The 27,418-nt window shown below is 44.5% G+C and overlaps 1 pseudogene across 1 annotated transcript; it reads left to right on the plus strand.

Moving 5' to 3' along the window:
- The first annotated feature begins 2,955 nt into the window (after positions 1 to 2,955).
- On the plus strand, positions 2,956 to 11,963 carry LOC728554 (THO complex subunit 3 pseudogene; annotated as a pseudogene). The gene is made up of 6 exons (NR_003615.2): positions 2,956 to 3,555; positions 4,227 to 4,383; positions 6,339 to 6,543; positions 10,064 to 10,225; positions 10,347 to 10,447; positions 11,362 to 11,963. The product of NR_003615.2 is annotated as a THO complex subunit 3 pseudogene (transcript).
- Positions 11,964 to 27,418: the final 15,455 nt, after the last annotated feature.

A 27,418-nucleotide genomic window follows, 5' to 3' on the forward strand; every position in this document is an offset into this window, starting at 1 on the left:
CGGGTGAGGCCAGGAGTTTGAGACCAGCCTGGCCAACATGGAGAAACTCCATCTCTACAAAACATACAAAAAATTAGCGGGTGTGGGGGTGCACGCCTGTAATCCCAGCTACTCAGGTGGCTGAGACATGAGAATCGCTTGAACCTGGGAAGCGGAGGTTGCAGTAAGCCAAGATCGCGCCACTGCACTCCAGCCTGGGTGACAGAGTAAGACTGTGTCTCAAAAAAATAAATAAATAAAAATAAAACTAAAAAAAGAAAAAAAGTGGAACAAAATGCTACAATTCGGTGAATCTGTGTCACAGGAATAGCAGTGCTTTTTACTATTCTTGCAACTTTTCTGTAAATTTGAATTTTTCCAAATAAAAAGTTTTAAAAAATGGCCCATGACTCTGTTCCCCTCAATTTTATCTCCCCTTTGAGAGACTCTGACTTTAGTCTCAACATTGCCCCCAGATGTGTGCTAGTCCAACTTGAAATGTTATACCAGTTTCTGTCTCAGGCAAGAGCAGTCGGATATACTTATCACAACTGAGTTTCTAACATCCATGTATACAGAATATAGAAAAGGAACACAAGGGGAAATTAAGTAAAAAACATACATTACAGGCCGGGCGCGGTGGCTCATGCCTGTAATCCCAGCACTTTGGGAGGCAGAGACGGGTGGATCACCTGACATCAGGAGTTCGAGACCAGCCTGGCCAGCATAGCGAAACCCCATCTCAACCAAAAATACAAAAAATTAGCCAGGCATGGTGGCGGTGCTTGTAATCCCAGCTACTCGGGAGACTGAGGCAGAAGACTTGGTTGAACCTGGGAGGCGGAAGTTGCAGTGAGCCAAGATCGCACTGCACTCCAGCCTGGGCAATAGGAGCAAAACTTCATCTCAAAAAAAAATTAAAAAATAAAAAATATACATTACATACAAAAATACAAAATGAATGCAGAAATACAAAGAATCACATTTACGTGATTTCAGATACTGAGAATCAGAGTGTAGATTTTAGAGTCAGTAACATCTGAGTTCTAACCTTTGCTCTGTCACATGATAGTCATGTGACCTGGACCAGGACATTTTACCTCTTTCTACTTCAGTTTTTGTATCTTGGTAGGGACTTGTAAATCCTCAGTGTATGCAGCAAAAAAAAAAAAAAAAAAAAAAATACAAAATACAGGGAAAATGTAGGAAAAATATCTAAATATATATATATATGAAGATTCCTGAAAAAGAGGGGTAAGGAAGAAAACTAGACACCAAATAGTTTCCTACTCCAAGATTTTAGAGACTTCAGTGGTATTCTTGGAGTCTGAAAAGCTTTGTAGTTTCCAAGAATTTCTGGTTGCAATGGGGTAGGGAAAAGATTGGGGAAAGAGAGGGACCTTATTTCCTACGGTCCTTCTGAGAGCCATATGCTTTATATGTGTACTCATTTAGTACCTAGGACCTTCTGACACTTTCTTATGTTGCTGGTGGAAGTATAAATTATTAAACCTCTTCATAGGTGTTTTGGCAATATATATCCAAATAAAAAAGTGCAGATGTGTACAATGAAGGTTGTATAGGGATATTCACTGCAATATTGTTCTAATATTGTTCTAAAAGCAAATTCATGAAGGGATCAGTTGAATATTATATATTCATATAAAGACTGCCACCATTGAGAAGAATGAGACGTCTGCATTTTCTGACAAGAAATGATTTCCTATACATATTTACCATAGGAAGCAAGTTGTGTAAGGAATGCTACCTTTTTGGCAGTGTGTTGGGAGAGGTTATGCACACACCTATCTACCTTGCCCAGGTGCTTACTTACACTGTCTCTGGAAGGCCACACAAGAAATTTAACTTTTTCAGAAGAGAAGTTTGGGGACACAGGATGGAGGGAAGCTTTTCAATCTATTCCCTTTTATACATTTTACATTTGTTACCAAGTGCACGTGTTGCCTTTTAAAAATTGGGTTTTTAAACACATTTACCACTACTACTCACCACCAAAACCTTCCCCCCTCAGCTCTTCTCCAGGGCCTTGACTGGCGCTGGCAGCTCACCACCCCTTTTTTCTCCAGCAAGAAGCCACTGGTTTAAGGGAGATATGAGAGGTGGGGTGGATACGCAGGTGGACATTTACTTTTCACTCTATATCTTTTATTTTTATATTTACAATCATGTGCATGTAATACTGTTACAGGAAAAGGGTCCCAATCCAGACCCCAGGAGTGGGTTCTTGGATCTCACTCAGGAAAGAATTCAGGGCAAGTCCGCAGTGCAAAGTGAAAGCAAGTTTATTAAGAAAGTAAAGGGAATAAAAGAATGGCCACTCCATAGACAGAGCAGCCCCGAGGGCCGCTGGTTGCGCATTTTTATGGTTTTTCCTGATGATATGCTAAACAAGTGGTGGATTATTCATGCCTCCCTTTTTTAGACCGTATAGGGTAACTTCCTGACGTTGCCATGGCATTTACAAACTGTCCTGGCACTGGTGGGAGTGTAGAGGTGAGGATGACCAGAGGTCACTCTCATCGCCATTTTGGTTTTGGTGGGTTTTGGCCGGTTCCTTTACTGCAACCTGTTTTATCATCAAGGTCTTTATGACCTGTATTTTGTGCTGACCTCCTATTTCATCCTGTGATTAGAATGCCTTAACAGTCTGGGAATGCAGCCCAGTAGGTTTAAGCCTCATTTCACCCAGTTCCTATTTAAGATAGAGTTGCTCTGGTTCACACGCCTCTGCCATTACCTTTTAAAAACAAAAAATCCATTTTTATTTAAAAAAAAAAACAAAACCTCCAGACCCCTTCTTAACACCTCTTCCCTCACTCCACACCCGCTAGCCCTTTTCATGGGACAAGCTCACCAGCTGGTCCTTCTCCAGCAAAAAGACCAGAGCTTTCTGCTCTTAAGGGAGGGGACTAGGGATTAGGGAACAACCCCAGAAGAAAGGTGATGAGTTAACTGTTTAGAAGGTTAGTGTTGGTTCTTTTATTCGATTAAACAGGAATACACATATATCTACCAAAGAATAGGTAAGGGAGAAATAAGAACACTAAAAAAACTCGGAATCGTTAAGTGTGAAGCATATTTGGAGTTAAAAGAACCAAATATTACTAAGTAAGCAGACGCGGGCACGCGCTGCATACCGGGATTTGTAGTCCCTTCCGGGGCGGGGTACAGCGCGCCTGCGCAGAGGGGCCGTCCCTCTTCCGGGCGCATGCGTGCGGCAGCGGCGCCAGGACTGACTGCGCCGTGGAGGCTGCTGCAGTGTTGTGAGTTGGAAGCTGGGGAGCTCGGCATGGCGGTCCCCGCTGCAGCCATGGGGCCCTCGGCGTTGGGCCAGAGCGGTCCCGGCTCGATGGCCCCGTGGTGCTCAGTGAGCAGCGGCCCGTCGCGCTACGTGCTTGGGATGCAGGAGCTGTTCCGGGGCCACAGCAAGACGCGCGAGTTCTGGCGCACAGCGCCAAGGTGCACTCGGTGGCCTGGAGTTGCGACGGGCGTCGCCTAGCCTCGGGGTCCTTCGACAAGACGGCCAGCGTCTTCTTGCTGGAGAAGGACCGGTTGGTGAGCTGCCGGGGCTCGGCTCAGGCTAGGGAGAGGGGCCGTGGTGAAGTGAGGTGCGGTAGTGGGAGAGCGAATGGGGGCGAACGGAGCCGCGGGGGTGAAAGGAGAGTGGGTTTGAGGGAAGGGGAAAGGGGGAGTGTGGAGATGAGGAGGGAGTAGGGAGAAGGTGGAGTGTGGGGGTGACGGGGTCGTGAGGGGTGAGGAGAGGAAGACTGGGGGCGTGTGAAGAGTGTGGAAGTAAGGAGGTTGGCGATGGCGGGTGAAGGTGAGGAGAGGGTGGATGGGACAGGGCTGCGATGGGAGCCTTACTCGTTTGGAGTCGAATCCTGTGCTGATAAGAAGTGGCTAGGGGCTGTGGTGGTGGTGGTGGTGGTGGTGGTGGTACGTTGGTGGTACGTTGGTGGTACGTTGGTGGTAGAGTAAGGGTGGAAAACCAGGAAGGAGGAGAAGGCCAGGGAGGGCACAAAAGTAAGGGCATAGGTGTGGAAGCTGAGAAAAACAGTTCAGAAGGCCTGCGGAGAAGAGAAGGGAGAAAGGGCTTGGAGGAACTGGATTCTGAATTACCCAGATCTTTACTGGTCCCAGCATACTTTGGTTTGAATAAGCTTATAAAGTTACATGCGGAGGCAGTTACATCTATGTGAAGTCACATCTGGATTCTGTTCTTTCAGGTCAAAGAAAACAATTATCGGGGACATGGGGATAGTGTGGACCAGCTTTGTTGGCATCCAAGTAATCCTGACCTATTTGTTACGGCGTCCGGAGATAAAACCATTCGCATCTGGGATGTGAGGACTACAAAATGCATTGCCACTGTGAACACTAAAGGTGACTATTCAGAGAGAGGGCAATAGGAAGATAAGCTGTTTGGATTCATTCAACAACCATTTTCCGAATATCTTTTCTGTGCCTGGCACTCAGCTGTGTATGAGACATCCTGAGCTGAATAAGAGTTTCCAGCTCCAAGGACCTCCCCTGCGGGGAGAAGACATATATATACAAATAACATAGCAAGATATGGTTCATTTTATAATGGAGAGGTCTGCAAGGTGGATACCCAGAATAGAAATGAAAACAAAAGTCTGCCTAGGGGAGCCAGGGAAGGCCTCACCAAATTTGAGCAAACTTTTAGGGTAGCCATAGGAGTTGAGTGGTCAGGGTGCTGTGGGTGGGGAATGGGACATTTCCAGGAGGGAACAGCATGTGCAAAGGCATGGAGAATTTGGAAAATTCTGATGAGTTAGAATGGTTGAAACTTGGATGGTCTTGGTGATCTGGGAGAAAGTTGTGCAGTACATTTATAGGCTCTGTTGTAAGTATTGAGGCCGGTATTGTATGGGACTCTGAGTTTTCATTGATCGTAAGATGTTCCATTAGGAAAGAAAGTTGGTAAATAACTGTGATACACCCAAAATTTTGAAATGCTTTCTGATACATTTTAAGATACAGTGTAGATACTAAAATGTGAGAAAATATGCGTTTTAGAATGGAAAAAGTTGGTGAAATTTTTAATTGATGTGTTCAGTGTGGGCCACTGGACTTTGTTGACAAGACTTATCTCTGGAGGCGGAATGGTGTGGTTTTTCCCCAAGTATACAGCTGCTGATCCATGAGTGATTCAGGTGATGCGTGGGTGAACATTAAAAACCAGTTTTGCAAATATCTTAATGTCTACTAGAAGAACTAGCACATAGAATTTATTATTCAGTTGAAGCTAAATTTATTTTATTTTTATTTATTTTATTTTATTTTTATTTTTGAGACAGGGTCTTGCCCTGTTACCCAGGATGGAGTACAGTGGCATAATATTGGCTCCCTGCAGCCTCCACCTGGGCTCAAGCCATCCTCCCACCTCAACCTCCTGAGTAGCTGGGACTACAGGCACATGCCACCATGCCTGGCTAATTTTTTGTAGAGACGGGTTTTGCCATATTGCCCAGGCTGATCTTGAACTCCTGGACTCAAGTGATCTGCCTACCTTGGCCTCCCAGAGTGCTGGAATTACAGGCTTGAGCCTCCACAGCTGGCTGCTAAATTTATTTAAGTAAACTTTTTTGAATCAATTTTAAGAAAAATCTTGAATAAAGAAAAGTATAGTGTTTAATGGATAGGACAAAAATTGTGATGTTGGCATGCGAATGGCTGGAGTTGAGAAATGCTGGTGTAAGAGAAAAGGGGGCTTTGGGGTCAAATCTGGGTTTAAAATCTTGGCTCGGCCGGGCACGGTGGCTCACACCTGTAATCCCAGCACTTTGGGAGGCCAAGGCGGGCGGATCACGAGGTCAGGAGATCGAGACCATCCTGGCTAACACGGTGAAACCCCGTCTCTACTAAAAATACAAAAAAATTAGCCTGGTGTGGTGGCAGGCGCCTGTAGTCCCAGCTGCTCGGGAGGCTGAGGCGAGAGAATGGCGTGAACCCAGGAGGTGGAGCTTGCAGTGAGCCGAGATCGCGCCACTTCATAGCTCTTTGACTTCATAGCTTTGACACTTTGGCTTGTCGTCTTATCTCCTATTTCCTTCATCTATAAAATCTTATAGATTTTATAAATGGAGATAATAAAGTGTATGTTAGAGGAGTATTGTGAAGACCAAATGGGGAAATGTGTAGATGAAAGTTCTGGACTTATTGTTGAATCGTAAGTGGTAGCTCCCTTCCATTGTCTAGGACTTTAATGAGTAAGCCCGGAAGAAAGCTCTGGTCTTCTTTCTAGGATAGTGCAATAAACTTGTAGAGGATTATGAGCAAACAGATTATCTTGCTGATTATGTCTGGGTTCCCAGGGGAGAACATTAATATCTGCTGGAGTCCTGATGGGCAGACCATTGCTGTAGGCAACAAGGATGATGTGGTGACCTTTATTGATGCCAAGACACACCGTTCCAAAGCAGAAGAGCAGTTCAAGTTCGAGGTCAACGAAATCTCCTGGAACAATGACAATAATATGTTCTTCCTGACAAATGGCAATGGTTGTATCAACATCCTCAGGTGAGGGGGTCTAGCTTAGGGGACTGTCATGTCTTTGTGCTGGGTGCTGTGTCAGATATGGAGATGAATTAGATGTGAGCCTATCCTGAAGGAGCTTAAAACACAAATAGTAAGAGAGAATCCTAACCTGTCTTAAGTACATTTGAGCTGTATATTTTATATACTTTATATTTTACTGAGTCCTTACAGAAATTCTAGGGGTTGATGATTTGCTTCTCATTTGACAGATGAGGATCTGAGGGTGAGAGGTTACATCAGTAGTCAGCTAGTGTGTGCTAGAACTGGATGCACCTTGAATTATGGCTAATTCATACTCCCTTTTTTTTTGTTTTTCGAGACAGAGTTTTGCTCTTGTTGCCCAGGCTGCAGTGCAATGGTGTGATCTTGGCTCACCGCAACCTCTGCCTCCGGGGTTAAGCGATTCTCCTGCCTCAGCCTCCCAAGTAGCTGGGATTAGAGGCATGTGCCACCACACCTGGCTAATTTTGTATTTTTTGTAGTTTAGGGTTTCTCCATGTTGGTCAGGCTGGTCTCCAACTCCCAACCTCAGGTGATTAGCCCGACCTCTGGCTAATTCGTACTCTTAAAGTTTCAACTGAAATATCACTTTGCCTTCAGGGAAGCTCCCCCGCTACCCCAAGGTTAGAGGTAGGTTAGAGGCGTATTTTATATACTTTCTGTAGGAAGCACTTTTCTTTCTATATTGTAATTGCATGTTTATTTGCCTGTGTCTCCTGTTAGACTGTGAATTCCTTGATGGTAGGGATGGTGTTTGCCTTGTTTAGTGTTGAATCCCTAATGTCTAGTCCTGTACCTGCTCCACGTAGTAGGATCTTAGTAAATATTTGTTCTGTAAATGAATGAAACTGTGGAGCTGAAATTCAGGTCTGTTCAATTCTAGCCTTCCACTATCCCAGGTGAACAATGCAAGACCAAGTGAGATAGGTTCTGTGAGTGGGAGGCCAGGAGTTTGCTGTGAAATTCCATGGAAAGAACAGACATACTATATGGGGGGTTGAAGGAGGGAGCTTGTGAGCTTGATCTTGAAAGATGAGCAGAATTTTAAGAATAAGCAAAAGGGAACCACATAACTGACAAAGCAGGTGTGAGTGAGCATGACTTACTTGGAGAGTGGTTAGGTCAGGGTTGTTGGGGGAGTGGTGGCAGATAAGGGAAATAAGAGAGGGCATGATAATGGGAAGATGAAGTCTAATTTGGGACCAGATTATAAAAGGCCTTTATTTTATGCTTAGTATCTTGGGTTTTATTTTGTAGGCAATGGGGATTCTATAACTTTTTAAGAAAAATCTTTTTATTATAAAACACAGATATTGAAAACCACATAAAATAAATGTATAGCTTAATGAACTCTTATAGGCTTAACTCTTGTGCAACCCCGCCCAAGTTGAGAAGTAGTTCTTTCCAGCCATCCCAGAAGTCCATCCAGGTGTTTTGTCCTAATTACAACTTCCTTCCACAAAAGCAAACACTATCCTGACTTTTATAGTGTTTCTTCATAGTTTATCTACCACATGTGCAGCCCCTAGATACCCTAGTTTTGCTCATTAAAAAAAAAAAAAAATTGATATGTGTTTTGTATCTCTTAAATTACTCAAAAGAAACTTCCGAAAACGTAGCTGTTGAAAAACCAGACTGTTAACCTGTGGAGATTCTCCCAGTTTGGCTTTTGCTGATTCCATATGCTGTTTATGTGTTGGACTGTTGTGTAAAGAGATGCTGCTTCTCATCTGCGATGTGGTTACCCAGTAGTGTAGTTCATGTAGGGAAGGCAGGATAAAATTTTGATTCTGTTTGTCAGATAATGATTTTGTTTCCTGCTACCTCCAAAGATGAGCAGTTAGGTGTTTTTTTTTTTAAAGAATCATTACGGGCTGATGTTTTTAAACATAGTTGGTGTGTTTCCATCTCTTGTAATTGTTATGCCTGTTGAAGCTCAAATTATCCCATCTTTGGCCAATAAGAACCTCTTCAAGTTGGTTCCTGAGACCTTTTTTGACATAATCCCATCGTCTTCTGTTTTTTTGCTCTCTGGTTTGATAAGATGTTCCAAGTTCATCTTGTGCATTTCTTGCCCCAGACCTTTAATCAGAACATTCTCCAAGAAGCCTTAACATTCTGGCTGGGTGCGGTGGCTCACGCCTGTAATCCCAGCACTTTGGCACTTTGGGAGGCCGAGGCGAGTGGATCACTTGAGACCTGGCAATCATAGAGAAACCCTGTCTCTACTCAAAATACAAAAATTATCTGGGCGTGGTGACGCACGTGTATATTCCCAGCTGCTTGGCAGACTGAGGCAGGAGAATCGCTTGAACCCGGGAGGCGGAGGTTGTAGTAAGTTTAGATTGCACCACTGCACTCCAGCATTCTGGGCGACTGAGTGAGATTCCACCTCAAAAAAAAAAAAAAAAAAAAAAGGAGCCTTACATTCTTTTACTGAGAAATGATACTGAAGTTAGGAATGTTCATTACTGCTGGGTTGGCCTAGGAATTACGTGTGTGTGTGTGTGTGTGTGTGTGTGTATATATTTAAAGATAAAATACCTTATGAATTCACATTGATAACTTGCAATCAAAATTGAGGACTCCAGGGATTTTACTAAACCTCTTCTATATTACAAATATATTTCTTTCCTCCCAAATTGAGTATTCTGGTTCTCAAGGGCACAGGGGATCATAGAATTAGAATATCCGATGGTTACTTATTACCTATCTCCCATGGTAAACATATAGATGTCTCAGAACAACAATATTACTGCTGCTACCACCAATGTGATGACTTGAAACAAAAAATGTTTTTGGTTTTTGCATATGCTCTTTCCATTCTTCCCCCATTAAAAAAATAGTACTATATGTTGTAAGCATGTGCACATGTTACATATTATACCCTCTCTTTAAACCATGTATAGTTTTTGCAAGAAACTGTATATTCAGTGTTCAGCACCAGTCCTTATAAGTCTCTAGTCATTTTTTTAATTGAAGCTCATTCTCTAGTTAAGATTCCTCGGGAAGCGTTCATGGGAACATTATTCCTGGAGTTTTTATTACAACTTATTTACGTAATTCTAAAACTTACAGATTTTATAAAACGTTATTGTGCTTATTGTTTGTATCATTATATTTGAAATTCAGTTTTGCTGGATGTAAAAATCCTTGGCTCGTTTTCTCGCTTGTGTATCTTTCTTAAATATGGTACTCCATTTTCTTTTGGCATTAAGTGTTGTTGTCAGAAAGCCCAATAATCTAATTTTCTTTTTCTTTAAAGTCCACTAATTTTGCTAGTCTCTGTCTCGATGTTGGTAACTTTGGTTCTGTAGTCTCAGGTATGTGTTGTGCTTTTTAAATAATGTAGTTCAAAATCTTTTTTTATTTCAGGAATGTTATCTTGAATGACAGTTCTTGGTGGTGGTCTATTATCTTTGCTTTTCTTCTTCATCATCTCCTATTATTGTTTTAGCACCACAGTCCTCTTCTGCAGTTTGATCGCTGTCTTTTTTCTCAGCTACCCAGAACTGAAGCCTGTGCAGTCCATCAACGCCCATCCTTCCAACTGCATCTGTATCAAGTTTGACCCCATGGGGAAGTACTTTGCCACAGGAAGTGCAGATGCTTTGGTCAGCCTCTGGGATGTGGATGAGTTAGTGTGTGTTCGGTGCTTTTCCAGGTAAGTGACTCTATCAGCACTTCCCTTGTTGGGTACATTAATTTTATTTCATCGTGAGTGACATTGTTCCCTCCTCTTACTTGGTAATTCTCTTGTCTCTTCTGTCCACTCTGTATCATAGGCTGGATTGGCCTGTAAGAACCCTCAGTTTCAGCCATGATGGGAAAATGCTGGCGTCAGCATCGGAAGATCATTTTATTGACATTGCTGAAGTGGAGACAGGTAACTTCATGAGAATCTACCGTCTTTCACCTTTGGCAGTCAGGACTTCTCTTGTGATCTCATCTCTGCATGTGACTACTTCACCAGCATGATCATGAATGAATTTGTCTCCTTTAGACAAGTATGTTTCTGTTTTGACTGTCACTGCCAGGTGGTGAGGAAGCAAAGAGTTAAGAAATAAACAGGCAGGTCTGAGGAAGGTGATTTAGAAAAATATTTTGATTTATTTAAACTTTAAACTACAGAGTAGAAGGAAGAAAAAAGCACCACTTGGGGTCCCACTCTCTAAATACCACCTGTTTTAAATGTTGTGATATATTTCTCTTTATCTTTTGCCTGTATATGAACTTGAAAAAATATTATTTAAAATTTGAGGAATTATAAAGTTTTTGCTTTAAAAACAACAGAAGCTGGAAATAGAAAAATGGGAGGAGAGTATTCATTTTGCAAAAGAATTTCCTCAGATTTGTTTTTTAATGTTGCTTTATTGTTTTTGGAAATCTGTGACACTCTTCGTAAAAAGATTAAAACTGTATAGAAAACTTCGAAGAGGAAAGTAAAGAACTTGAAATTCCACTATGTAAAGAATGCTCCTGTTAGTCACGTTGTGGTGAACATTGTCCAGCATCCAGCCATGCAGATCCTTCATGTAACTGCATGTCCCTGTGACGCGGAGACACTTTCCTGCTCAGTGACCTGCTCTTGAGTTAACCCACCTGTGCTCAGAACCGGCTCTGTCCTCCGCTGGCTTGTGGGCTCTCTGTGCCTGGGGGTTCTCTGTAAAATGAGGTAATAGTTGTATCTATCTCATGGGATTAGTAGGTGGATTAAACCAGTTAATACAGGTAAGTACTTAATGAATGTGTCCTTCGTTTTGAACGTATTGATTGGTTTCTCTCTATTGTTTTCTATAGGGGACAAACTATGGGAGGTACAGTGTGAGTCTCCGACCTTCACAGTGGCATGGCACCCCAAAAGGCCTCTGCTGGCATTTGCCTGTGATGACAAAGACGGCAAATATGACAGCAGCCGGGAAGCCGGAACTGTGAAGCTGTTTGGGCTTCCTAATGATTCTTGAGAGGAGGTTGTAGGGAGAGGAGGCCCCGGCAGAGGTCTTCCTTCATGTGGTTAGTTTGGTCTGTTCTCTCGGAGTTGGTGGGCACCCTAAATATTTGTAAGTTGGTATAAATTGTAAACGTCTCTGGTCAGGCTGCGCATTTCGTTCTTTTGCTTTGTCTGTGTATTAGCTCTTTCCATTCTTTGCCCCCAGCATGAGTTAACTCGCGTGGACTCTGCAGTGCGAGTAGTGACCCCAGCATACCTTGTCCTCTGGACCTCCTGTCTTCTCTGCTTCTGGGTGCATGGTAGACTTTGTGGCATTTGATACAACTTGGACAATACCTAGTTTGGAGGGAGGGGAATGGAAGGGCATGGAAGTTTTTTTAAATAATTAAAAAAATATATATATAATTTTGAGAATTGAGCATTTAATAAACTGACTTTTGTTATTATGGAACTTCTAAGACTTTTAAAATTATTATGTCCTTGAGTTGCAGTTTTGTATTTTTTTTTTTTTAATTTCAGAAAGAGAATTTAAATGTTATAATTCTGTCATTTAATGTCCCAACCAAGAAGCCTCTGAAATATAGGGACAAAGCTAATTGAATGACCGAACTAAAATTTTGACTCTGAGCTTCCTGGTGGCAAAGTGAAGAGGGGAGTAAGTCAGTTAGCTTTCTTATTGAAAAGAAAAACACTTATTGGTTCCTCATGGAAAGCAAAGCTTTATTAGTTCTTCCCTCTAAAAAAAAGGGCTTATGTTTGGGGGGTTGTTACCTAAGAGCAGTGGTTTTTCATTATATTGTAATTTTGTTTGGTGTTAAAGCAAATATTGAGGCATATAGAAATAGTGTTGGTAGAAAATTTTGGAAAAAGATAAGCAAAAAGAAAAATTACATTCCTAGCACCAAGAGGTAACTGCTATTAGAATTTTGATGTATATCCTTCCAGAAGTTTTCTCGTGTCCATGTTTATGTATAAAAACATGTTTATCTTCATACATGAAGGGTAGACAAACCAAGTATGGCAAGATAAGTTAGGCAAGGTGCACAGCACCATGTTGGGGAGTATTATAAACACTCAACAAGTCTTAATAGACATTTGTAGTTACTGGGCATTCACTACATGCCTGCTACTATAAGGAACACTTTTATCAGCTGTTACTCAGTGTTTGCAGCAGCCTTCTGAGGTGGGTGTTATCACCATTTTACTACCTCAGGGAGTTTAAGTAACTCAGTGTTACTCATCAAGTGACTGTATTCAGATGTAGGTTTGTTTAAAGGCCCATGTGCCTTTGCTTGTAATGGGCTACTCTGTTTCTGCAAGTATTGCCATTCCCGCTTCACAGATGAATAAACCATGGCCATGAGAAGTCAACTGTTGGCCCATATTAGTGAGTGATGTGTTGAGCAGGTGCAGTAGTGTGCACAGTAGTGTTTGCAGTAGCGTTTCTCACCTTCCCTGATGAAGGGTCTTTTCAGTTGCAAACCAACTTGCCACCTCAGCGGCAGAAGTTGAGTGTTGTTCGTGTCACCGTGAGTAAATTTGATGCATTATTTCTTGTTTTTGCAACCATCTGTCATTCCTGTGGTCTCTGCCATGTTTATATATTCCCTCTAGAACTGGTACCAGATGCTGAGGGTTTGGGCTACATCTTAATATTTGATTGATTCCCTCTTCCATCCTTGTGGATTTTTTTCTCCTCTGGGTTTATGTAAATTAGTGATCCACACGACCTGTCACTTAAACAAGAGGAAACTTTGCATTTAACTGGTGGGACACTTGTAGCAACAGGAGAACACACATCCATGAGCAAGGAGTCCCAGTGTGTGTGAGTTTTTGCAGACTCTCAAGGTCTTGATGACACCATCTCTGTGCCTTGGCTTTGAAGTACTGGAGGAGTTCAAAGGTGGGTCCATCCTGGGGAAATGACATGTCTCAGACCCGGGGCCCCTTTGGTTTGAGTGCATTTTCTAGTTCTGCAGAGCTGGAAGGATGCCATTCAGAGTCACAGCTGGCCATTTATTATTTGGTCTGTCGAGGCATTTTCTGCAGTTGCTACTACACACATCAGCAAGTCAGGAGTGAGTGGGGAGGTCAGCTACAAGCTAGATTTTAGTTGGCAGCGAGAGTCTAGGATTTGCTGCACTTGTTCACACACACACTTACTCATCATGTGCCCAAACAGACTGCAGTATCCACATACCAATGACCCACTGTTGTGTTGGCTGGAATGACAAGTCAGACTGATAGGTAGTGAAGTTTGTAGTATCATCTCTTTTGCTGAGATCCTGGTATTTGGATGGCGTGAGATCCAGAGTAGGATGAGCCATGCCACATGGGAAGCTTGTGAAGTGTATGTGCCATGTTGTTCCCCACACCTTAACCTGTGTGGGTGGGAGGCTGAGCAGCTGGAGTCCTGGGAGAGGGTCCTGTGTGGGGATGGGAGGCTGGTGCAGGGAGTCCTGACCAGAGGCAGGTGGATCCAAGGAAGGGGCTAAGCCCAGAGCAGGCTCCTAGGAGGTCTTGCAGGGGCGGGGGGTGTAGGGTCTGGGGGAGGGAAGACAGAGAGAATCTGGTTGGGGTGCGATGTGATGTGTGGGTTGGCTCAGTTGAGAGTGGCCAGGAATGGGGTAGAAATGTCCTTGAGCCCTTTCCTGTTTGAAAGATGTATTCTGCTCCCTAAGGGTTTTAGTTACACAAAGGACCATGAAATGTTTTCCTGCTTTGGAAGGAAAAAAGCCCATAGACAGATGTAAAAGGTAATTCCTCTCTTCAGGAAGAGAGTAGAGGTTGAACAGAGTGTGTTGCGGACTCAGAGATACCCAGATGTAGGTGAGGCGTTGCGTTCTTTTCTCTCTCTGACGCTGTGGTGCGGTGGAGATAACACTGGCTTCATAACTTGGGCAGAATCAGATTTGAAGCTGGCTCCAGCAGTGGTTTATCTGAACCCACTTTGCTCATCCATTAAGTGGAGACAATGAATCCCCTTCTTGGGTCGTTAGGAAGATTAAACAAGATACAGCCTGTACGGTGTCTAGCACAGCACCTGGCACAAGGGAGGTGCTTAATAAGCCTTCCCCTTGCTTGAGGTGGAGGAGCTCCTAGCGAGAGCATGGAGACCTGTCACTGGTCTGTCATCCTTCTCAGCTCCAGTGCCGCCACCAAGCGAGCAACGTTCATCATTCCAGAGTGAGTGCTGTGAAGGGAGGATATGGATCCATCACACCCCGGGCGCAGTGGGAGGTTCAGAGGAGAAATATGAGATCTGCTTTCCGTTTGCAGTCAGTTTGGGCTCATGATGGATAAGTGTGTGTGTGTGTGAACAAGTGGAGCATAACTCAGACTGCACAGCAGCGGGTGAAGGAGGAGGGGGGCAAAGCTCCTGTTAACTGAGGCTGCTGGGAAAGGGTCGTATGGGGAGGGGGTGGCCTCAGTGCAGGCCTTGGGTAGAGCAGAGGTGAGTGCAGGACAGGGGACAGGTGGGGGGGCGTTGCTGCAGCTTGGAGCCAAGCCAAGGTGTGGCCGTCAGTGTCCTGGACGTGAAGATGGTCAGGGGCAGTAGGAGATGTCGCTGGAGGGAAGAGGGAGGGAGGGGTGTCTGGTTCTGAGTGGTTTCAGTTTGGACTGGCTGGTAGTGTGGCTGGGTGAGTAGGTAAGAGACGGATATACCTGGGTTCAGATCCTTTCCTGCCATTGCTAACAGGGAGACTTTAGCCAAATTACTTCACCTCCATGATTTTGCTTGTCTTTAAGATGTGCCTGATGGTAATGTGACTTAGGAGGGTTCAATGAGTTGCTGTGTGTAAATGCCTGGCACACTGTGGGCGTGCAGGAAACAGCAGCTCTTGTTACCTAGGTGCTAATACCATACGTGTGTGCTGTATAACCTCCCTACCTTAGGAAGGGGTTTTCAGTGTCCCCTGGGCTCATCACATTGTCTAAAAGGGAGGGATATAGCGTTGTAAAGAAGATACTGTAGCCTTGAAAAGAGGATGGGATTTGGAGAAAATGAATATTTGACAATTATTTTTTATCACCCATTTGTAGAGCTAAGGCCATTTAACTTTCAGGAACACTAAACTGGAAACTATTCAGCCAATATTTATACAGATTTACTAACAGTTTACATGTTTGGGATGGTTAGTGATGCAGAGCCATAAGTTGTTGAATTTTAAGACATCCGGCAAGAGGCATAAGTCGTTCAATTTTAAGACCTCTAGCATCTCACTCTTTTACGACTTAGAAGAAGCAGACCTGCTTGTGAAAACATGCCCACCTGACCAGCAGCGTCAGTGACAGAGTCACCGGGTACAACTTGCCCGCTGTCAGGGACCACTGGGGCACCATAGATCTACCAAGAACAAGTTGATAAATTTACATTTCCTGTTACCTTCCTGATAAGGTTACTGGAATACAGGTCAGGGAATGGTGCAGATGCAGCAAGGAATCTGTCCAGTCATCTCGGGATGTCCTTGAGGACCAAAGGAAATCTGGGCTGGCACAGGTTGATTTGTAGCTGGTCATCAACTGTACCCCCAAGGGGGATTACAGTCAGCTTCGAGAATAGCTGCTCTCCTGAAGTATCACAGTTGAGTTCAGGTTGAGGGTGATCAGGCCTGTGATTGTTTATTGAACGTTTATGATGGGCTGTGTCTCCTCCAAAATGACGGCCAAAGTGCTTTGCTCAACACATAGGAGGCCCTCTCACGCTCTGTTGGGTTGACCACAAATTGAACTCATCTGGCTAGGACTGTACAAGGGAGAGGGATAAACCAGACCACTGTACCTTGGACCTACTGTACGGGTAAAAACTGGTTCAAGGAGGTTAGAGAACTTGTCCAGGGTCAAACGGTCTGTATATGAGTTTGAAGCCCATGTTCCTTTCATCCCAGCTGTTTAAGTTTAGCCTAGTCTAGATGTGGCTTAACAGTAACACAGATGTAGAGGCTTAGGGTCTTAGGAGTTTGACCATCAACATGGGATTCACCTGGTTCTTTGTGGGAAAGATGTCACACTGCTGATGGGCAGAAGCCAGGGGACAGAGAAGCTTTAGCTTGGAGACCTGGAAACAACACATTCAGGGGAAGAGGGTTCATTTATTCAGCCAGTCACTCAACCCCTCTCCTGTGCCAGGCCTGACTGGAACACTGAGGGTACAGAGGTGAAGGTCCCACAGCCTGGTGTGCAGATGGTGACAATTCATGTGAGTGGTTTCATTAAAAAGCAAGACAGATCCCACCTCTCCCTTGCCTAGAACACTCCATTGGCTCTCACTCCACCTTCCTCAGATCTGATCTTCCCAGGCTGCTTTCTCAGCATTTAGGTCTTAATTTAGAAGCAGTCCTCTCTAACCTGAATGTTAATGTAGCCTCCCTTTGCCCCATTGCTGGATCTCTTCCCACCGACTTTAATTTTATTCAGCGTGCTTATCATGGGAAGCTACTCCTGTTTGCTTCCTTTGTGGCTGTCTCCCCAGGTAAACTGCCAGATGTTCTAGCAATTTTGCCTGACATGTTCATTGCCGTACCCCACATCTCCAGCACCGTGCCTGGTAGTACTCAGCAGGTGTTCAATAAATAGCCATTAAGTAAACGAATGCACGAGAAAGGAGTTACCAATCTGGGCAGAATGACAAGCAGGCGGTTAGTCCTTGCTTGGTGGGGAGGAGGCAAGAAGGTGGGATCTCAGCATGGTAGGTGCTGTAATCCCCAGTTCACAGGGTGGGAAGCAGGTTGTGTTTCCTTGCTCCAGTGACTCAGCTGTGAGGCAGAGAAGCAGGATCTATACATTTGTGTGCAGCTTCAAAGCCCAGGTCTTCCAGGAGGTCAATTTTCTTGATCCTGGCTATATACTGGAACCACCTGATGTTCATTCTCCATGCCAAGCAAGCTCCCCAGGGGATTCTAACAGGATGGAGAACCACCATCCTAGGCCCTGGTGCTTCTCTGATCTGTGGAAAGGTGAGTGTTGTCACAGAAATGGCACAACAGTGCCTGGGAGTGGAGGGAGAAGGCTTCCTGAAGAAGGCACTGGGGTTTGTCTTAGAAGGGTGGGTAGGAATCTGCTGGGCAGCTCTTGGAGAAGGTTTGAGGCAGAGGGGCTGGTGTCTGCAAAGGCGTGGAGACATGCACCATCCTGGTCTGGTGTGGACAAGGAGCAGGGCAGCGGGGCAGGCAGGGTGAGGATGGACTCCTTGAACAGTCTTGCACTGAGGAGAGTGTTGACTGACATATTTGGACTCTTCTACCTTGTCTGTCATGGTCTAATGCATGTCTTTTCTGGGTGTGGTTTCTTTTCTTTTTTTTTTTTTTTTCTTTTTTCGAGACTGAGTCTCACCCAGGCTGGAGTGCAGTGGCGTGATCTTGGCTCACTGCAACCTCCACCTCCCGGGTTCAAGCGATTCTCCTGCCTCAGCCTCCCGAGTAGCTGGGACCACAGGTGTGTGCCAATACACCCAGCTAATTTGTGTATTTTTTAGTAGAGATGAGGTTTCAGCATGTTGGCCAGGCTGGTCTCAAACTCCTGACCTCAGATGATCTGCCTGCCTTGGCCTCCCACGTGCTGGGATTACAGGCGTGAGCCACGCGCCCAGCAGGATGTGGTTTCTTGAGGATCCTTTCAGGGCTTTGGCCTCTCCCAGCTCCTATCCCACTACTATTAGGGTCACAGAGGAGGAGGTCAAGACTGGGATTTACCCATGAAGGCTCTTTGGATGAAATCAGCTGGATATTGGCTGGGTCACTTTGTTAAAGACCAGAACCTGGGGTGGGAAGCCTGTGCCTGTTTGGATGTCAGAGCCCACAGCCATGGGCCCCTGGCCCAGCTTCCTAACCAGTTTGGCCCTATTTGCCTTGGAAGCACTTGGGCTGTGGGGTCAAATGGTCCCACGCGCTGATCTTGGCCTTGGCGCTTGCTGGCTGCATGAACATGAGTACATCTTGTCACCTGTCCCAGTTTCAGTCTCTCTATTCTGGGCAGAAGGATTTTCTCACCAACAAGGACTAAGTACCCTCCTGTAGGCTCAGGACTAGGGCAGAGCTTGTACACGATAGAGGAGATGCTCGATCGGGTTCTCTCTCCAAGTCCTGCTTCTCATGGATTTAAGGGGCTGTGGAGGGCCTGACTGCTGTGCTGAGTTAGGCCCGGGGCCTGCCAGTGGAGTTCTAAGGCCTTTAAAGAGTTTGAGTTGTGTTTTAGGAAGACCACCTGGGGCAGTGTGGAAATGTCATGATTGAGGGAGAGAGTTTCTTGAAGCAACTCCGTCTAGTGCAGAGCTTCTCAAGCTAGGGTGCATCTAAGTATCTGGAGGAGCTGTTAAAGCACGTGTTGCTAGATCCCACTCTGAGAGTTTTATTTTTGTTTGTTTGTTTTTTGAGACAGAGTCTTGCTCTTGTTGCTTAGGCAGGAGTGCAATCGTGCGATCTCGGTTCACTGCAACCTCAGCCTTCCTGGGTTCAAGCAATTCTCCTGCTTCAGCCTCCCCAGTAGCTGGGATTACAGGTGCCTGCCACCATGTCCGGCTAATTTTTATTTTTTCTTTTTGTATTTTTAGTAGAGATGGGGTTTCACCATGTTGGCCAGGCTGGTCTCATACTCCTGGCCTCGTGATCTGCCCACCTCGGCCTCCCAAAGTGCTGGGATTACAGGTGTGAGCCCAGCTGAGAGTTTGATTTTCTAACATTCTCAGGGGTCGCTGTTGCTGCTGCCGCTAATGTTGGTAAAGTGGTTAGTCAGATAGATACAGGGCCCTTGCCCAGGGTTTAAACCCTTGCTGGGTTTCAACTTTAGATCTTCTACTTGTAGCTAGCTATGTGGCCTTGGCCAGGTCCTCTAACCTGTGTGAGCCTTAGTTTCCTCATCTGTAAATTGGAATGCTACCTACTTCCTAGGATGTTGTAAGAATCCCATGATTTAACGTGTATAATCCCTCAGCACAGTGCCTGTGGTCAGCATTTAATAGAGGATCGTTTTATTATTTTATTAATACCAGTGAGGAGGCTGTTGCTGAAGTCCAAGGGAGAGATGAAAGAGAGGCTGAACGAGGCTCGTGGCTGAGGGATGGAGGGCATCTGTTTTCTCAGTGGCTCAAAGCCTATGATCCTCCCTCATAGGAGAACACGTTGCTTCCTTCCACAGCGGGAACTTGCTGAAAACCTGTCGGCTGGTGCCTGTGTGTCCTCTAGAGGGCAGTGGAGTCAAGGCTGAGGATGGAGCATTGTGTGCCCTCGGTTGGGGCTGGTCTGTGCGTTCAGCCTTTATTCCCTGTTCTGAAACCCAATTGTGTATTTGCATTGGACTGTCCCCTCCTCCTTGCTCTGTGTACTTGCTGACGCTTTTTGGAAAACACATCACAGGGCACCTCTGATTTCCTGCTTGTCTTGTAGCCTGGGATTAGCAGTAGCTGAAGCGTGCTGCTTTCTGGCAGTTGTGTTTATTTCTCAAGGGCACAGGCTGTACAGATCATGGGGGCCTGCTCCCTGCAGCTCAGCTGAGCCTAGGATGAACCACAGTTGCTCTTATGCCAGTTAAAAACTTGGGGCCTGTTCCATCTTGCATTTCCTCCCCCGCTTCCCAGTCCTCGCCCGCACCCTTTGATCCTGTGAGTGGAGAAATGAAGAGAACTCCAAATCCTTAATCCATTTTGAAGGCCGGCTGGCAGCAGGGCTTTCTGTGGGCCTGGTAAGCAGCCCTAGTTGAATCATTTTAGAGAAGGGCAGGTATTCTTTCAAGGTTATAGAAAGAAAGAAAAAAAAAAAAAACCAGAAGCACATTTATAATATTGGACAGTATACCTTGTCCCAAGCCCTGTACATTTGCTTTATTCCATAATAATAATAAAAGGTACTAGTGACAGCAGCGTCCGCTCACTGATTGTGTGGTAGGAGCCAGGTACTATGCTAAGTGATTTTCATGTGTTAACTCTTCTAAGCCCGGTAACTGCCCGTGAGATTATTAATCCTGCAGAAACTGAGGCTCAGGGAGGTCCCAGTAACACACATCGGGCCAAAGAATGGTGCTATTAGAAATTCAGACCAGTGTGTCTGACTCCAGTTTGCTAAAAACCTGCCTGCTGTCCAAGCTCCAGAATCACTGGGCATGGTCGATTCCATTTTTAGCCCAGCTCTTTCCAAAAGACATTAGGCATTAGACAGGAGAAGGCCATGGTTTTTACAAAGCAGTCTGTTTAGTATTCATGATCCTATAGCATAAGATTCAGTTAAGAGCAGGGATTCAGAGCCAGATTGCCTGGGTTCAAGTCCTGGCTCTGCCACTTACCATCTTTGCAACCTTGGGCAAATTCTTTGATGTCTGAGCCTTAGTTTTTTCATTTGTAAAATGGGGGATAATGGTAGCCACCTCATTGGTTTTCTCTGAGGGTTAAATGAGTTAATATATGTAAAGTGCTTAGATTAGTGCTGGGCACTAAGTAATACCTCAGTAGATGGTAGCTATTGTCATCATCATCATTATTCTTAACCATTATGCTGTATTCACCCATATATTCTCAGTGCCTGACTTATATTAGGGGTTGGTGAATATTGAATAAAATGATCCTTTGGATTCAGATTTTTTTTTTTTTTTTTGAGTTGGCGGGTGCCAGGAGCTAGCTTGATATAAAAATGAATCAATGTTAGACCCTTTCCTCAGGACTTCTCAGTCTGGTTGGAGAGGCCAGGCATGTGTGTGAATTACTGTAAAAGGCAGAAACATACCATGGAGGTCCTGATGTGGGTGAAAGCACTTTTGGACTGGGGTGCAGGCCATGGGCCAGCTTCAGAGGAGGTGGCTTTGGAATTAGGCCTTGAAAGGTGGAAGGAGGAGGAGGGGAAGAGTGGGTTAGACTAGAGAATTCAGGCTTCTCTTGGGCCTCATATACCAATAAGTTCACAAATGAACATTGAGTCAGATTGGGTTTTTATTCATTCAGCAAATATTCATCGAGGATGGTTGGAATCAGGCACTGAGACATCGTGATGGCTTTGAACTAGGCCCTGCCCTCAAGTGCCCTGGGTCTAATGGGACAACAGCCAAGGAAACAAGTGATGGTTATTCAGTGTGATGAGGGGCAGTATTGACTTGGAGCCTCTCAGATGTGGGTGAGAGGCACCCGAGTCAGACTGGTTTAAGCAGAAAGGAAATTCACACTGGCTCATTTACCTGGAATATATTCAAGTGTGGCTGGATTCGGGGGTCTCAAAATATGTCTTTAGGAAACTGCTTGCCTCTTTCCCCTGCTTTTCTCTGTGTTGGCTTCACTCTTTGGCAGATTGTCCCTTTGCAGTGTCACAGGTGGCCTCCGGCAGCTCCTGGCTTCCAAGTCACCAGCTCAGGGAACCCCAGCAGAAGGAGGATGCCTCTTGATCAGTAGTTTCCTCTGGAGTTGTGGAATTGAATATCACAGGACACTGTCAGTCATATGCATCCACCATGGCTGCAGGGATTGCCTGCCCACCCCTGCGAGGAGTACAGAGATACAGGGCATATTAGTTTTGCCCAAATCACATGAGCTGAGGTGGGTGGTGGGGGGAGGGAACTGTTATTTCACAAAGAAAATTCAGATGCTGTCACCAGGCAAAACCCACAGATGTCCACTACAGCTACCACCATGGAACAGAATAATTCACCCATTAAGCACCTGGCTTGGGACTCCAGTTCCCAGGGATGGAATCCCAGCTCCACCATTTACAAGTTGTGTGACTGTGGCTGGGTCACTTCACCTGTCAGCCTGAGTCTCAGTGTCCCATCTGCACAATAGGAGTGATGGCCCACACTGCCAGCTTGAATCAACGTGAAAGCACCTTGCAAAGAGTCCAGGCAGGCTCAGGCAGGCGGCACTGCAGTTTGGGGTGGCATGAACTATGATGTCTCTGGCATGTTATCCGACCAGTTCCAGGGCAGCTGTCTGCAGAAAGCAGCCGGTCGTAGCACAAAGAGTCAGGCTGTCCTGGGTTCAAAGCCTGAACCTCCCACTTACAAGCTACATGTTCCTTCATGATAATCACCTTTCCTGCCTCCCAGGGTTGTTGGAAGTGTCAAGGGGACATGTAGACAGCCTGGCACACTTTGTTCTGGGAGTGGTGATAGCTGTGTTCATAGTACAATTGCTACTCCACAGCATGCCAGGAGTCCAGGTGTGAATCTAACGGGACAGACCCCATACTCTGTGAACAAAAGCCCATCTTTCTGGATAAAGGGTACATTTGGCCAGCAGCCAAGGGCCCTGGGAAGGCTTTGTGCAGCCCGGCCCTTCCCTCCTTCCATTCAGCGAGAGGTGGGTACAGCCTCACGGAGGTTCATGTTTCACTATTAATTACCCCCCAGGCTCTTTTATCAGCCTGTCTCTCATTCCCACCACAAGGCTGTCAGCCAGACAGTTGGAACAGAATCTCATTTGGAGTGTGTTTGCTCTTCTCCCCCATTGCTGGCAGAGATCTGGGATCAGCTCTGCATTAGGACAAGTTGTAAGTAAACACACATTTGCTCAAATGTGGCCCTCGTCCCATTCTGTAGCCTTATCTTAGATTTGGGCAGCTTCAAATCAGGGAGCCAGTGTATTTGGAAAATACCTAAAAGTGGTTTAATTCAACCTACCCACTTTACAGAAGAGTAAATGGAAAATTGGAGGTTAGGTCGCTCATGTTTATATGAACTATTGAGGATACAGATAGAGCTGGAAATCAGGTCTTCCAACTGTTAGTCCAAAACTTTTCCCACAAAAACCTGGCGCTTCCCTCCAGTAGCACATATTGAACATCTACTAGTATATTCCAGGCCCTCTTCTAGGCCCTATAAAAACAGAGTTGAATAAGAAATAATCTCTGCCCTTGAAATGCCTAGGAACTTTCCATTCATTCATCCATCCCTTTGTACGTTCATGTTTCTGTCCATGCAATCACTGATCTGGTGTTTGTCTTATCTGTTCATCTCACTACCCATCCATCCCCCCATTCGTCCTTTATCTACTCATTTTTCCATTTGTCTCCTCTCTCCATCCATCCATGAGTACATCTGTTTATCTCTTTATCCATTCATCCAGCCATCAGTGTGTCTATAAGGCCCAAGTCCTAGGCTGTGCTGGGATGGAGATAAGTAAGAAACAATCTTTGCTGTTTAGGCTTTTACATCCAGTGCAGACAGACACAGAAACCTGCCTCAAAGGATGTATAAAAGGCTCTCGTACACAAGAAAGGACTTGCAATTCTGCCTCGTATTTCTGTGAAGGCTTCATTCTAAGGGTTGAAATAGTGCTGCATCTGGATAGGAGTTTCCCAGTGGGGAAGATGGGGAAGAACCTAGGCTGAGGGAACAACAGGAGCAGGGGCGTGAGGCTGTCCGGTGGGTGTAGGAGGAAGAGGAGTTTCGTGTCATTTGATGACTCCTTCAAGGAGCAAACTGGCCAGTTATAGTCAAGAGGGGTTGTCAAAGCCTATTTGGAGAGGACCTTGAATCCCAGAGCCAGAATGCCACCCTATGCGCGTTTGGGAGGCACTGTAAGATTTTCAGCAGGAAGTGACATAGGTAGGTGAGCATTTCAGAGAGACCACTCCAGGCAGTAGGATTAGAGGCAGAGGGACTCAAGTGTGAGGAGTGTTTAGAGCCTGTTCTGACAGCCTTAGGACAGTTGACATCCTGCCTGAATCAAGGTGTCCATAGCAGAGATGGGGCCTGCAGGGTGGGGTTTGAGCGACATGTGGAGAAAGTAGAACTTGAATGGTGATGTCAGAGATGTCTGACTGGGGCCGGAGGGGTGGAGGGAGGGGGTATAGATGACAATGCCATTTGCTTAGCTAAAGACCACAGGAGAAAGGGTTGTGGGGGATGCTGCAACAGTAATGCATTCAGTTTTAGACGAGCTGCATTCGAGGTGTCTGTGGGATAGCTGGGGAGACGTTGAGGATGCAGTTAATTATAGGATCTGGAGCTTGTGAGAGATGGGGCTGGGGGGAGCCAGTGAGACATCTGGAGTGTGGAGAGTGCTGACTGCGCGCAGAGCAGCAGAGGCAAAGCCGGAGTGGAGGCCTGGCATGGACCTTCTTATTAAAGGCATGGACCTTCTGGACTGCAGCAGGCTGTCCCAGAGAGGGAGGAGAGCGAGGAGTGTGTGAATTTTGCTAATTGTACTGTGGTTATGTACACTGTTGGCATTAGGGGGATCTGAGGGAAGGGTGTTTGGAAATAATGTGTGTTGTCTTTGCAACACTTCTGTAAGTGTAAGATAATTTCAAACCAGAAGTAGATTGTACTGGGTGCAGCAGTGCCTGCTTTACTCCTGTGTTATGTTTTTAAATGCCTTTTTTGATTTACATATTGACATGCAATAAATTACACATGTTGAAAGTGTGTGATAAGCATACGATAGTTTGATAAGTTTTGACATACATATTCTCTCATGAAACCCATCACTGCAGTCAGGGTAGTGAATACACCTGTCACTTACAGACAGTTCCTCATATCTCCTTGTCATTTCTCTCTGTGCCTGCACCTCTCCCTGCAATAGACAACTGCTGATCTGCTTTGCGTTACTGTGGTTAGTTTGTCTAGAGTTTTGTATAAATGGAATCATACAGCATGTACTCTTTTTAAAATTATTACTTAAAAAATTGAGGTAAATTATATATTTAATTTACCATCTTTACCATTTTAAAGTGTCTAGTTCAGTGGTAATAAATAGATTTATAAGGTCGGGCACGATGGCTCATGCCTGTAATCCCAGCACTTTGGGAGGCCGAGGGGGGCAGATCACCTGAGATCAGGAGTTCGAGACCAGCCTGGCCAACACGGTGAAACCCTGTCTCTATTAAAAATACAAAAATTAGCCAGGCGGCATGGTGGAGCATGCCTGTAGTCCCAGCTACTCAAGAGGCTGAGGCAGGAGAATCGCTTGAACCCAGGAAGTGGAGGTTGCAGTGAGGCAACATTGCACTACCGCACTCCAGCCTGGGTAACAGACCGAGGCTCCATCTCAAAAAAAATTTTTTTTAATTATAAAAATAAAATAAATACATTTATATGTATATTTTCTCCCATCATCACCTCTCTTCCTTCCCCTTCCCAGCCTCTGGTAACAACCAGTCTACTCTCTATCTTCATGAGATCCACCTTTTTAGCTCCTGCATATGAGTGAGAACATGCAATATTTATCTGTTTATGCTTGGCTTATTTCACTTAACATAATGACCTCTAATTTCATTTATGTTGCTGCAAATGATAGGATTTCATTCTTTTTTATGGCTGAATAATACTCCATAGTGTATTTTTGGTGGAATCTTTAAATTTTTTTCTAGGTATAAGATCATGTCCTTTGCAAACAAGGGTAATTTGACATCTTCCTTTCAGATTTGGATGCCTTTTACTTCTTTTTCTTGCCTAATTTCTCTGACTCAGCATGTACTCTTCTGTCTTGCTCCATTTAGTCAGCATAATTATTTTGAGATTCATCCATTTTGTTTCTTGCAAAAATAGTTCATTTTTATTTCCGCAGAGTATTCCATTGAATGGATATATCACAATTTGTTTATCCATTTAGCTGTTGGTGGCCATTTGTTTCCAATATGGGGCAGTTACAAACAGCTTCTATGAACATTTGTGTACAAGTCTTTGTACGGATATATATTTCCTCTTCTCCTGGGCAGACACCTAGGAGTGTGATGGCTGCATCATATGGTAAGTGTATGTTTAACTTTACCACCACGAGAGTGCCATTTCCCCCACACCTTCGCCAACACTTGTTATAGCCAGTCTTTTTATTGAAGCCATCCTAATGGGCATGTAATGGTATCTCACTGTGGTTTTAATTTGCATTTTTCTAATGACTTACATTGTAGAGCATTTCTTCATGTGCTTATTTGCCATCTGTATGTCTTTGGTGAAATGCCTATTAAAATATTTTGACCGTTTTTTAAAATTAGCTTGCTTGTTTTCTTATTGTTGAGTTTTGAAAGTTCTTTGTTTATTCTGAATATAAATGTTTAATCAGATATATTCTTCACGAATATTTTCTCCCTGTCTGTGGCTTGTCATTTTATTTTTTAAAGTGTCTTTCAAAGTGCAGAAGTATGTAATTTTGATGAAGTCCAATTTATTTATTGAGATCCAGAATACATAAGGAACTCATGTACAAGAACTTTGTTCTTTTATGGATCATGCTTTTGGTGTCAGATATTAAAAAATCTTTGATATGATATTCAAGGCCAAATATTTTTTTCTGTGTTTTCTTCTAGAAATTTTATAGTTTTAGGCTTTACATTTAGGTCTATGATCCATTTTTTAGTTAATTTTTTATAGATGATTACAAGTATGTATCCAAGTTTGTCTTTGTGCATATGGATATCCGGTTGTCCTAACACCATTTGTTAAGAAGGCTGCCTTTTGTCTACTGCATTTCCTTTGCAGTTTTGTCAAAAATTCGAATATGTATGGGTTTATTTGTTGACGCTTCCTTCTGTTTCACTGATCTGTGTGGCTATTTTGATGCCGATACCATGCTGCCTTGATTAATGTAACTTTATGATTCTTGAAATCTGGTAGTCCTAACCCTTCAACTTTGTTTTTTCAGAGGGGTGTGTGTGTACGTGTGTGTGTGTGTGTGTGTGTGTGTGAGAGAGTTCTAGCTTCTTTGCATCTCCCTATGACCTTTATAATTAGCTTGTCAATTTGTAAGAACAGCTTCCTGATACTTTAACTGGGGTTATGTTGAATATATGCAACAATTTGGGGAGAATTGATATGTTAATAATATTGACTCTTCTTTTAAAAATTGATTTATAGTATTTGTACATATTTATGGGGTTCATGTGATATTTTTGATAGGGCCAGGAGGCAGAGAAATTCCAGGCAGAAAAGGGCAGGGTCCCTGGCAAGGGCCCCACCCTCAAGCCTGACCCAAAGTGAGAACTTTACATCCCCGTT

Source organism: Homo sapiens, chromosome 5 (assembly GCF_000001405.40).
Source record: "Homo sapiens chromosome 5, GRCh38.p14 Primary Assembly".
Lineage (NCBI taxonomy): Eukaryota > Metazoa > Chordata > Mammalia > Primates > Hominidae > Homo > Homo sapiens.